General features: G+C 53.3%; 1 protein-coding gene across 6 annotated transcripts in view; it reads left to right on the top strand.

Annotated features, from left to right (window-relative positions):
- MGAT5B (alpha-1,6-mannosylglycoprotein 6-beta-N-acetylglucosaminyltransferase B) overlaps nt 1-12,773 on the top strand; it is an 81,990-nt gene that overhangs the window by 54,804 nt on the left and 14,413 nt on the right. For 3 of the 6 annotated variants that reach the window (NM_001199172.2, XM_006721707.4, XM_011524352.3), the window contains 4 exons: nt 1,759-1,890; nt 3,390-3,523; nt 9,438-9,568; nt 10,085-10,090. In NM_001199172.2, the coding sequence (NP_001186101.1) occupies nt 1,759-1,890; nt 3,390-3,523; nt 9,438-9,568; nt 10,085-10,090 (403 nt within the window). The remainder of the gene's footprint in view (nt 1-1,758; nt 1,891-3,389; nt 3,524-9,437; nt 9,569-10,084; nt 10,091-12,773) is intronic. The other 3 variants (NM_144677.3, NM_198955.1, XM_047435383.1) reach the window with 2 other exon arrangements.

Consider the following 12,773-nt stretch of genomic DNA (forward strand, 5'->3'; position numbering starts at 1 on the left):
CTGAATGGTTTCAAGGAGCCCAGACACAGCCCAGGAAACTGACCAATCCTGGCCACTTGCCGTTAATGAGGAGGTGACCTTGTCAAAGCTCATCACCTCCCCAGCCTGACTCTGCTTATGATGTGGGTCCCTGAAGGGCCTCCCTAGTAGGAGGTGTCCTGGGCCTCCTGCAGAGCTGGCTGGCACCTGAACCCTGAATCCTGGGGAGGTGGGCATCCCCGGGAGATGGGACCCGATGGCCTGGCTGCTTCCCAGTCTGGGTTGGGAGCAAAGGATGGTCACATCCAGCCCCATGAGGTGATGCACCCACCAAGAGCTGTTGAGAGAGGAAGATGAAGACAGGGCACGTGGCCTTCTCTGCTTGGGCATCCCCCCTGCCCATCCCTCCACCAATGGGCCTCTCCTCAGGACGCCTCCACCGTGCCTCAGCACACGCTGATCAGATCTCTGCTCCAGCACCCCCAGGTGTACACACCTCACACGGCTTGTGCTCCTGGGGCTGGGGACACATCCCACGTGTCTCTGAGTTCGTGATGTGGGCAAAAGGCCTGGAACCCGACGTGCACTCAAGAAACATTTGTTAAAGAGAATTATCCTGAGGACCCAGTGGGGAGGGGGTGTTTGGGGAAGCGGGTGCCTGACCGGGTTCTGCATGCATTCTGAGCTCCCGGGCGTCCTCCTCTGGTGGAGTGGGGATGGGAACGTGGAAGGGCCGTCTCTGCGGAGGACGGTACATCCCACCTGACTCAGGGGCTCGGCATAGACTTAACTGAATGAATAAGTGACCGGATGCCTCGTCATCCCCTGCAGGGGAGAAACCGAGGCTGTGGAGTTGGAATAAGCAGGGGCTTCTGGCGGGAGGAGCTGGTTTGTACGGATGCTGGCAGGGGGGGTTGTGGGCAGAGGAATTTAAATTGGCAGCTGTGGCTGCTGGGACAGGGGGCTTTGAACCCTTCTCCAGGGAGGTGGACTGAGCAGATGTGGGGATTCTAGAGGAAGCCATGGGGTGTGGTCATGTCCTTCCATGTCCTCCTGTCCATACCCCTGGAGCTGGGGGCCTGGGGGGTCCAGCAGGAGGAGATGACCCAGCAGCTCCAGCCGGATGGGATGCCAGATGGCAGAGGGGCACCACCCCTCCTCTGGCCAAGCTGCGTCTTCCAGGTCACCAGAGGCAACCTTGTCCCAGATGAAAACCTGTGTGTAAATAACCCGGCAGGTGAAGGCAGGCAGGTCCTGTGCGGTGCCCGGGGTGGGAAGCAGGTAACCAGTGGCCTGCAGCAGCTCGCGGCCTCAGCCAGCCCTGGGCGCCAGGAGCTCAGTCAGCACTGCAAGACTGCACTTTTCTGAGGCAGGAGGTTTGGGGCCCTCATCCAGACAAACACGTAGCTGCGCTGAGGACTGCCGCCAGCATCCATGGGATTTGTGAAAGTTAGAGAAAGGCTCCCTCTCTGGGTAGCCACAGCCCTGCGGGAGCACATTTGTGTCGATGACAAAAGGTGCCCCTTCTTCCTGGCAGGTAACCCAGGCTGGGTGCACGGGAGCCCACGCTGACCTCAGTCCCACCTGCCCCTTGCTGGATTGCCTTGTGCAGTGAAAAACCTACGTTACCGTACAGGGCCATCCTGCTCACTTCCTTTCTGAGAGTCTGTGCTAAGCTCTCTGCACTTGTACAGTTCATTCTGGGCTCTAAGGAACTGGGGTGGCCGGTTGGGCAGGTGGGTTTCTTGGGGCCCAGAATCTGAAGGGCTCTTCTCTCAGTAACTTAGGGGTACCGCCAGGCCGGGGAAGCTGCCCGCTCACCATGCCCCTGCCCTTCGACCTCATCTACACCGACTACCACGGCCTGCAGCAGATGAAGCGGCACATGGGACTCTCCTTCAAGAAGTACCGGTGAGAGGGCGGCCAGAGGGTGGGCACGTGGCCCACATGCCAGGGGAGAAAGCTCCTCCTTCACGCCCTGCCCCCACGTCCCCACTCAGCCAGCTGGGCCCAGGTGGGAGAACATACTGTCCTGCATCCTGCCCTCCGCCCTCCCCTCCCCTCCCCTGCCACTTCCGTGTCTGCCTCCCGGCTAACTCAATGATATTTAATAAACCACCCAGGGAGTTGCTCCATCACCCCTCTGCTGCTTTGAGGCTGGGGGCAGGAGGCCGGGGTCATCTACATGGAGCGGAGCTGAGGAATTGAAGAGAAGAGTATAACGGAACAGGACATTAACCTGGGCTGTGACCCTGCTGTGGGGACCTTGGGGTGGGGAGAGCAGCTCAGCACACCCCTCTCTTCCTCCACCCCACCCTCTCTCCGTCTGGAGGAAGGCCAAGGCCATCGCTCCCTGTCTCACTGCAGCCAGTGGGATGTGGGGCTTAATTTAGCACAGAGAGCCCTGCTATTTATTACGTGTGCTCCAGTCCCATTGACGATCCCACATGATTTTATTAGGGAAAAAAGTGACAGGCAGTGTTATTGCTTTTATTATTAATGCGAGTTCTCTATGCACTCGGCTCTCTCCTCCCACCCCGGGCCTCTTCCCTGGGGGAAAAGTGCCAACCTCAGCACTCTGCAGACAATTCTGGGTCACCAGGAAGGACGCTGGGGTGAGGAGCTCCTTGCAGGGCCTCTGAGTCTTGGCACTTTTTTTCAGGTGCCCCTTCCAGGGAGTAGGGAGGGCAGAGGGGGTGGCTCTGGGGCTGTGGCCCATTGAGAATGGCCTCGGAGTTCGTCTGGCCCTGTGGTTGGCTTATCTATAGGGACAAGACCCCTCTGGGTTTTGAACTTGGGCCTCCACCCCTGGAGACAGCAGAGGGAGAAGGGCCCTGTGGAGCAGAGCCTCTGCCCAGCTGCAGGGTCCAGCCCTACTGGGACCAGCCTTGCAGAGGAGGCTCAGAAGCGCTGCCCTCCCAAAGACAGCCCATGGGCAGTGCCTGGGACCCTGCCTTTTGCATCCTGGCCCTATAGACTGGGCACATCCAGGGGTGTCAGGCTCCTGAGAAGAGGGGCTATGACTCCCTACCCAGGCAGATGCAAATTGTATAGAGGACCCAGGGGACACCAGAGAGGGACCCCCTCTCCAAGCAGTGCCTCCCTTCTGGGTGGCAGTAATGGCTACAATTCCTGAGTGCTAACCAAGGACCATGGGTCAGGAGCTTCCCTACAACCCTGAGACAATTGGGCTGTTGTTTTTCCCACTGGACAGATGAGGCAGCACAGAGAGGTGAAGACACTCACCTGTGGTCACACAGCAGGGCAGTGTCCTAGTCCAAGTGCTAACACACACTGTGCTACTCTGACTCCACCACTGGCTGGTGACAGTGCTCGTGGCTGGGGCAACTTCAGCCCAGGGACACACGGGGAGGTTGCTGACCCTGGTTCCTGGTCCCCTGGGGGGGCAGGTGCCGAATCAGGGTCATCGACACCTTCGGGACGGAACCTGCGTACAACCACGAGGAGTACGCCACGCTGCACGGCTACCGGACCAACTGGGGCTACTGGAACCTCAACCCCAAGCAGTTCATGACCATGTTTCGTGAGTGCCCCACAGGGCAGGGGTGGGGTCGGAGGTCCTCCTCATGGTTCTCAGAGGTGACACGAGAGGCGGCCAGGGTCTCGCTCCTCCCTCTCTTTCCTTCTCCAGCCAGTGGGGTTGGTGGGACCCAGCAAGCATCGCCTTCTCCTGCTCCATAAGTGTGTGAACCAGGAAGGAAGCCTCTGGTGCTATTTGGGGAGCAGGAAGCATGGAGGGGGTGTCCAGGGCGGGGTGACCTCCCCGACTCCAGCAGATGTAGCCTTCACCCTCCAGGAGGGAGGTTGGGCACACAGTTCCAGAACACGGGGGACTCCGCGGCCTTCCAGAAAGAGAGGCTTTCCAGAGTAAGCTGGAGAACTTCCCTGGGTAGAAAGGAGCAGGCAGGCAGTGGGAACAGATGCAGTAAAGAGGGATGTGGGAAGAACTGGAAGGTTCTGGAAATGCAGGATTGGGCTTGGCTTCCAGGGCTCCAGGCAAGGAACGTGAGTGGAGCTGGGCTTCAGCTATTTGTTTGTTTGTTTTTTGAGACAGGATCTCGCTCTATTGGTCAGGTTGCAGTGCAGTGGTGTGATCTCCTCGGCTCACTGCAGCCTCGACCTCCTGGGCTCAAGTGATCCTCCTGCCTCAGCCTCCCGAGTAGCTGGCTTTACAGGCATCTGCCCCCATGCCCGGCTAATTTTTATATTTTTTGTAGAGAAAGGGTTTCACCAGGTTGCCCAGGCTGGTCTTGAATTCCTGGGCTCAAGCGATCCACCCACGTAGGCCTCCCAAAGTGCTGGGATTACAGGTGCAAGCCACCGTGCCCGGGTTTCAGCTGTTTTTAATGATACTCTAAAATGTATACACACACTGACCTATCCTGTTAAACGCAGCTCACTGAAAACAATTTCACCTTTTCTTGACAGCTCAGGGTCAGTTCTCTGCCTCCCGGGCGCATGGGCCTGCCCTTCTGGACGGCAGAGGTGTGCGGAGCTGCGTCCCCTCCTCGTGTCTGGTTCACGCTGCGCTCTTCCACCTTGTTGGGAGGCTCTCAGCTGTCACTTTTAATTGTTGTCAGTACATCTGCCTCCAGCAGCATCTTGCGTGTGGCTCTTTCAAGGCTCCAGGCCAGAAAGCTAGATAAGTAGCCTTGTTAGGATTGCATCTGTTAAAGTAAGAGCAACGTAGACTCTGAGCAGAGTCCTGACGGACTTGCTTGTGAGTAAAGTATGTGATTTGTATTTGGCCTGTCAAATTCATGGCATCTCTTGTGGGTGCTTGGACTATTCTTTTTTTTCTGATTCTCTAGACTCTAGGCTATATTAGGGGCAGATGTGATTTTTGAATAAATAAGTAATGGCATCATTGAATCCCAGAAGGTTGGGAAAGTGGGAAGGTTCCTGGGGCTCATGCAGTCCAGATGAGAAAACTGAGGCCCAGAGAGGTAGAGCATGCAGCCTGAGGTCACACAGCTCAGTCGGGACCAGACTCCTTCTGCAGGGCCCGTTTCAAGGTTGCATGAGACTTCTTACTGTGCTCCCAGCAGAAGAGTGCTTGGGGTAGAGCAAGCACAGGGAGCAGATTTCTGGAGGGAAAGGAAATGGGGAGTGGAAATAGAGGCAGGGAGGAAATGATGGTGCTCCGGGCTGTGGAAGAGGAAAAGCTACGAAGTTGAGAAGCTTGGGTATTTAGATCACTTAGAAGGGAAGCAGTCAAGCCAGGCGCGGTGGCTCACACCTGTAATCCCAGCACTTTGGGAGGCTGAGGCAGGCGGATCATGAGGTCAGAAGCTCGAGACCAGCCTGGCCAACATGGTGAAACCCCGTCTCTACTAAAAATACAAAAATTAGCCGGGTGTGGTCGTGGGTGCCTGTAATCCCAGCTACTCAGGAGGCTGAGGCAGGAGAATCACTTGAACCCGGGAGGTGGATGTTGCAGTGAGCTGAGATCGTGGCACTGCACTCCAGCCTGGGCAACAGAGCAAGATTCTGTCTTGGGGGAAAAACAAAATAGAGAAAAAAGAAAAAAAGGAAGGGAAGCAGTCAGATTGGAGGCTGGTAAGAGGAGCATGGAGGATCAGGGCACCGAGGAGTGGGGTGTTTTAGCCAAGGTTCCTGAATTCACGTCGGAGGACCACTGAAGGTTCTTCAGCTAGAGAATGTCATGAATAATTTTTTTTTTTTTGAGACTCTGTCACTCAGGCTGGAGTGCAGTGGCGCGACCTCGGCTCCCTGCAACCTCCACCTCCCGGGTTCAAGCGATTCTTGTGCATTAGCTTTTGGAGTAGCTGGGACCACAGGCACACGTCACTTAGCCTGGCTAATTTTTGTATTTTTAGTAGAGAGAGGGTTTTACCTTGTTGCCCAGGCTGGTCTTGAACTCCTGAGCTCAGGTGATCCACCTGCCTCGGTCTCCCAAAGTGCTGGGATTCCAGGCGTGAGCCACTGTGCCCAGCCAGGGCAACATTTTTATTGAGGTGTATTATCCTGTCGGACTGCAGGTGGCCAAAGATGATGAAGCAGGGAGGAGGGGGAAGCAGAGATGGGTTAAGAGGCTTCTGCAATATCCTGCACTGAGAAAATGAGGACTTGTCCCAGGGTGGAGCCCGCTGGATGTGGATTTCCAGACCTGGCAAACTCCTACTCATCCTTCAAAACCTCAAGTGAAATGTCTCCTCTTTTTACCATCACTTTCACTGATCCCCTCATCTCCTACTCCTGGCAGAATGTATTGCCTCTTTACCTCTATTTTTATAATTCTTAAACTTAACTCCGTTAAAGCATATGTTGAAGTATGCTAGTTATTTGCTTATACATTTCTTTTCCCTGATAGATCATGAGCCACTCAAAAAGGGGCCACTAATTGGTTTATCTCAATCTCTCTGGAGCCAACCTAGGTCCTCAGAGAACATTAATTGATTGGATAAATCGAAGAAAGTGGGGACAAAAGGGAAGAGGGAGGCTGGCCAGTTTTAATGGCACAGAGTCCAGGAAGGAAGTCATGAGCAGGCCTGTTCCCATCTAGCTGGCTGATTTCTCCAGGGAGCTAACTGGGGGGCTGCTGCCTCTCCTGGCCTTACCCTCGCTCTGCCCCCAGGAGCTCTTGGCTTAATGGTCCCTGTTATTTTAATTGGTTGCAATACTTCCCTGTCCCTCTCTGACTGGCTTAGCTAATTGTGTTCTAAATCTGCCTCTTCTGGTGGAGTTGGTGGAATGAAGGCAGTTTAGTGAAAGATTCTTCAGCTTCAGAGAGTGGTGGGAACAGGGGAGAGGGCTGGGTGGCAGTCTTGGAGAAGCCAGAGGGGAGGGGAAGATGGTGCCGGACAGGTAAACAGGGTCGGGCAGGGGCTGCTTTGCCTGGCATGGACAGAGCCTCCTGAGATGGGAGAGCTGTCCTGACCCTGACCACCCACAGAAAGAACTCCAGGCTTCCAGGGCTCCTCCTGACCCTCCCAAAGCTCTAGAGGAGAGATCGTTTGGTTCTGTAGTTGAATTTTCAGGCCCAAGAATCTGTGAGCTTTGGGGGCACTTACACAGGAAAGCATCATCTCTTCTAAGCTGTACCAGATGTTGATTATTACGTCTTGTGGGCCTTGAGGGGTGGGTGGGAATACTACAGTAGATTTACACATTTGATGAAAGCATGCATCCCAATTGGAGAAACGTTAAAATGTGGGGGATGTGCATTCGAAATGAAGAAATAGGGTATTTAGAATCAAGGCTGTTGTGGGAAATCAAGGCTGGGCAGCTGCTCCCAGCCTCCTCACTCACCATAGCCCCTTCCGTGCGGGAAGGTAGATTAAATATCCTTGGACTCAATAAACGGTTTATTCGGGATCCCAGTGCGCAGAAGGCAGGGCTCGTGTGCCTGCAGATTCGTAGGTCTCATGTTCCTCTTAACCCCTCCGTGGCGGACAGAGCTTTAGCAGTCACTGCACTCCACACACGGCCATGGAATTGGAGCGTGAGATCAAACATGTTCCCTGGCCTTGGTGTGTAGGAGGGTGTGTGTCCTTATGGACAAATAAGTCAAATGGCGAGGAAATCCCGGGGCAATCCCTGCTGTAACAGAGACCTAACTGCCGCAGATGGGGCCACAAAGGGAGGCACAGTCCACCCAAGAGAAGGCTTCCAGGAGGAGGTGTCGTGTGAGAGGGGCCCCGAAGGCTGAGTAGAATTTCCTCATCCGAGACAAGGGAGGAGGGCAGTGCAGGCCGAGGGGACAGCAGCAGGGGCAACGCTTGGAGGTGGGAATGGGAGGCTTTTCCCCTGTCTCATCCATCTTTGTCCAGCATTCATAAAGCCAGCCCAGGCTCTGTTTCAGGTGCTGGTGGCACAGAAGTGAACAAAACAGAACCATTGTCCACAAGGTGCTTTTATTTTAACAATTATTATTATTGTTTTTGGAGATGGAGTCTTGCTCTGTTGCCCAGGCTGGAGTGTAGTGGCGTGATCTCAGCTCACTGAAACCTCCGCCTCCCAAGTTCAAGTGATTCTCATGCCTCAGTCTCCTGAGTAGCTGGGATAACAGGTGTGCGCCACCACACCCGGTTAATGTTTGTATTTTTAGTAGAGATGGGGTTTTGCCACGTTGGCCAGGCTGGTCTTGAACTCCTGACTTCAGGTGATCCACCTGCCTTGGCCTACCAAAGTGCTGGGATGACAGGCATGAGCCACCACACCTGGCCTATCCTGACAATGATACATGAACAAATAAATGTATAGTCTAATGTCTGGTCGGTAAGTGCTGTGATGAAAAATAAAGCTGTTAGGGGACAATGAGTGACTGGGGTCAGGAGAGACCTCTCACAGGCCCATGAGCACAGTTCTGTATGGAGAGGGGTTGTGTCCAGCAGGGCTCTGGGTGGGCTGGATGGTCAAAGGTGCGGTGGGAGAGAAATGGAGGCAGAGCCTGGTGATTGTCGGGCGGACTTTGGCATATGGGGTTTTGTGCGGAGGAGGAACCTGATATGGCCTAGATTCAAAACTGTCATTTCAGAGAAAAGACTCTACCAAGAGAGCCACAGGAATGAGGAGGCGGCTGTCAGGGTGGTCCCATTGAGAGCTGATATGGCCTAGGCCGGGGTGCAGTCACGGAGAAGGTGGAGAAAGTTCTACCTGGGATGACAGATGCTGCCTATGGGCGCAGGTGGAGGGCGAAAAGATGGGTCAGAAGCTTGGGGCTCCAGGGACTGTGAGGAGGGCAGAGTCCCTACTGGTCACCCGGGGGCCTCAGCCTCAAACAGGGGGACTTGATGACCTCTTAGGCTGCTGCTGCTACTGCTGGTGGTGCTTCTTCCTTCTTTCTTCTTCCTCCTCCTCCTGTTCCTCCTCCTCCTCTTTCTCCTCCTCCTTTTTTCCTCCTCCTCCTCCTCCTCCCCCCCCCCTTCTTCGTCTTTGTCTTCGTCTTCTTTGTCTTCTCCTTCTTTCTTCTTCTTACACAGGGTCTTGCTCTGTTGCCTGGGCTGGAGTGCAGCAGTGCGATCATAGCTCAGCTCACTGCAGCCTTGAACTAGTGGGCTCAAGCGATTCTCCCACCTCAGCCTCTCGAGTGTCTGGGACTATAGGCGCGTGCCACCATGCCTGGCTGATTTTTAAATTTTTAAATAGAGACAGGGTCTCACTATGTTGCCCAGGGTGGTCTCAAACTCCTGGGCTCAAGGGATCCTCCTGCCTCTGCCTCCCAGAGTGTTGGGATTATAGGCGTGAGTCACCATGCCAGGCCTAGGTTTCCTTCAGCTCTGATCTTTGTAGCAGTCTCCGGGAAGGGGGTCACAGGCCGGGGCACTGATTACACCCTCCCCACCGCACCCTGTGCCCCGCCCCCTTTCCCACCCCTGCCAAAAGAGGACCTCTTGGGCGGGGCAGTCCAGGGAGGCCTGGGGCTGCCCTTGGTTGTTTGGTGACCCCATTCCTTCTGCGTGCTCGGGCTGCAGCTCATACCCCCGACAACTCCTTCATGGGCTTCGTGTCCGAGGAGCTCAACGAGACGGAGAAGCGGCTCATCAAAGGCGGCAAGGCCAGCAACATGGCCGTGGTGTACGGCAAGGAGGCGAGCATCTGGAAGGTGAGCGCGGCCCCTGCGCGCGGGAAGCACCAGCCTGCTCGGCACAGGCCCCCGCCTGGGTCCCGCATCTCCTCCTTCCAGGATGCGGTGCCCTCCTCCCGCCCCAGCCCTGCATGCTGGAAATGTCTCCCATGAACCAGTTCAGGACAAAAAGTTCCTAACTGCTATTTAAAGACACCCAGCCTAGGAGCTGACAGCTTGTCTCCCGGACTCTCGTAATAAATGATTCCTTAATTGAGGACTGTGACTAAATCTTCCACCCTTCCAAGAAACAGATCAATAGACAATGTAAGCCCAGCAAGGGCGTCTTCGGTGGATGGGGGGGTGGTCAGGCTAGACTTGGGAGTTCTGTGAGATTAGAGGCAGAGAGAAGCAGGAGAGGCTTAGAGATTAGAACCCCATCTTCAGGGTTGGGGGCCCCAGAGAGGAGCTGCCTGCATGGGGTGTTGTCTGCGAATCATCACTAACCTGCTGTCTCTCTCTCTGTTCCTTGTGCTCCCCCTGGCCACGAGGCAGCTCCAGGTATGGAAACCGCTTGCCGCCTGCCCCCTCTACCCTCTGCTCCCTTCCCCTCTCCAGCAGCCACTCCAGGGGTCTCTCCTTGTGATGTTCTCCTGACTCAGGCTCTCTGGGGCTTGTGGCTCCTGTGGATGGACCAAGGTGGGGAAGAGGGTGATGGGGACAGCAGGGTCCTAGGAGCCGTCTTTCCTGGTTCCTCTGTCACAGGGAGGCAAGTCCTGGGAGGTCAAGGTCCTGCTTGGCATGGCCACAGGGCAGCCCTTGGGCATGAGAGGGACCAGCGTTGGATGGGTTATTACATCAAGCAGGTGGCATGAGGTCAAGGTTAATAACGAAGCTACTGATCAGGGGAAGCCCCTGTATCCTACATCAGGCCTGTTACATGATTATTGGATTTAATCACTCTCCCAGCTGTACTGGTTAGGATTAGATCTGGCTGTCGCAGGGAAACCCCAAAATAATCGTGATTTAAACAAGATGGAAGTATATTTTCTTTCCTGCTTGCAAATTTCAGAGGTCGGGAGGGCTGGTGTGGCGTTCCCCGGGGTCTTCTTACCTTGACCCATCGTGTTTAGTTTCCACCTTGGCCTTGCCTCATGGTTCAAGATGGCTACAGGTATTAGAGTCATTATATCTGCATCCCAGCCAACAAGGAGAAGGAAGGAGCAGAGCGGGACACCACGTTTCCCACACTGCTCATCAGCTCCATCTTGGCCACAGGGCCATGCCCACTTCCAGGGGATGCTGGGTGGCATTATTTCCAGGCAGCTCAGCTCAATGTGCCCAGCCCTGTTCTGGGTTCTATGACTGAGGAAGGAGGAGAGAAGGAGGACTCAGGGGGATCTCACCATCTGGGTTGTGTCCACCCAAGACGCTACTGTTCACTGAGAGCTTGCTATGTGCCAGGCATTGTGCTAAGGGCTCACGTGCATCTCTTATTTAACCTTCACACAATGAGGTAGGTGCTGCATGTGATCCTGCCCACTCTATAAATGAGGACACCAGGGCACAGTGGGTTAGAAGGTGACCCATAGCTAGTAAGCGCCGAGCTGATGTTCCAGCCTACATCAATCTAAGTCCAGAGCCAGGGGTGCTTGGCCCTGACCCCACAGCCTGTTCAGCATTATGAAGCCTTGGAGAATGGCAGAGAGAAGGCTTGAAAGCAGGAATCAAGGTCCAAGACCTCTGCTGAGATGTCAGAGGTCACTGTGGGGTGTGGAGCGGGGAGCTGGGAGATGAGGCTCCCCATGCCGATTGCCACAGCTGCAGGGAAGCCCGGGAAGCTGTGGGCACTGGGTGCTGGAGAAGAGGGCAGAGTCGGAGGGTCGTGGAACACACAGGGTCTACTTTTATCAGAAAATGCTGTTAAGAAACTGGCCCAAGAGAATGAGAGGTTATGAAGTCTGGAAAGAGAAACGTTTTATCTCTAGCGCTGGAACTTCTGTGATAGCCCGAGGCAATCCTGTTCAGCTAGAGACCTCAAAGAAACTGCTTCCAAAAAAAGACATCTTTGCCCTGGTGTTTGTAACCAAAGGAAGTCAGAGGTGGCTGGATGGAGAGAAAAATGAAAGCAGCATCTTGGGAGAGATGCCTTCCAGAGTACAGGGGATCAGGTGGCCGAGAAGCAGAGGAGGAAGGAGGGGAGATGGAAGGTCAGGTCATTTATCATCCTTCCAGGGAGCAGGAGCTGGGGACCCAGGGCAAGGCGTTGGGTGAACTTTGTGCTAAGCGGGTCTGTCTTATTCTGCATTCCCCAGAAAGTGGAGCCTGAGGCTAAGGCTTAGGTGCTATTTTAGTAGAGTGTAGTCCCAGGAAGCGAGGGGTGAAGGATCAAGGGAATGAAGCAGGAAGGAGGCAAAGGCAGCTGGTTCAGGCCCGGGGCAAACCCACCCTCATCCCTGGAGGAAACATTCCAGGCCCTCAGACAGTCATCTGGGTGAGCTTGGGTGGAACTTTTCAATCCGTAGGTGGCAACCCATGGATAAATTGTGAAGCCAACTCAGGGAGTCTTGACTAGCCTTTTTGGTTCGTGTACAATTTTTTGTAGAAACATATGCTTTCATTTCTCCTGGGTAAATGCCCAAGAATATAATGGCTGGTTAATACTGTAGAAGTGTGTTTAACTTTTTTTAAAAGTTATTACGAGGCTTTCAATTCTTGAACAAATTCATCAATGCTTGGGATGGTCAGTCTTGTAAATTTCAGCCGTTCTAACAGGCATGGAATGGTGTCTTCTTGTGGTTTAAACTAGCATTTTCCTAATGACTAATGATGAAGATATTTTTGTGTGTTTATTTGTCTTCCATATATCTTTTTTTTTTTTTTTTTGGTGATGTGTCTTTTTAAAAACTTTTGCCCATTGAAAATATTAGGTTGTTTATTTTCTTACTATGGAGTTGTTAGAGTTCTTTATATATCCTGGATCCAAGTCTCGTATCAAATATATGCTTTATAAATATTTTCTTCTAGTCTGTGGCTTGTCTCTCTCTTTTTAAACATATATATATTATATATATTATATAATTATATATACTATATATTATATACATTATATATACTATATATATTATATACATTATATATATTATATATTATATAATTATATATACATTATATATATTATATATTATATAATTATATATACTATATATTATATACATTATATATATATATATGTAGATAGAGA

The sequence above is a fragment of the Homo sapiens genome, chromosome 17 (genome assembly GCF_000001405.40).
Source record: "Homo sapiens chromosome 17, GRCh38.p14 Primary Assembly".
NCBI lineage: Eukaryota > Metazoa > Chordata > Mammalia > Primates > Hominidae > Homo > Homo sapiens.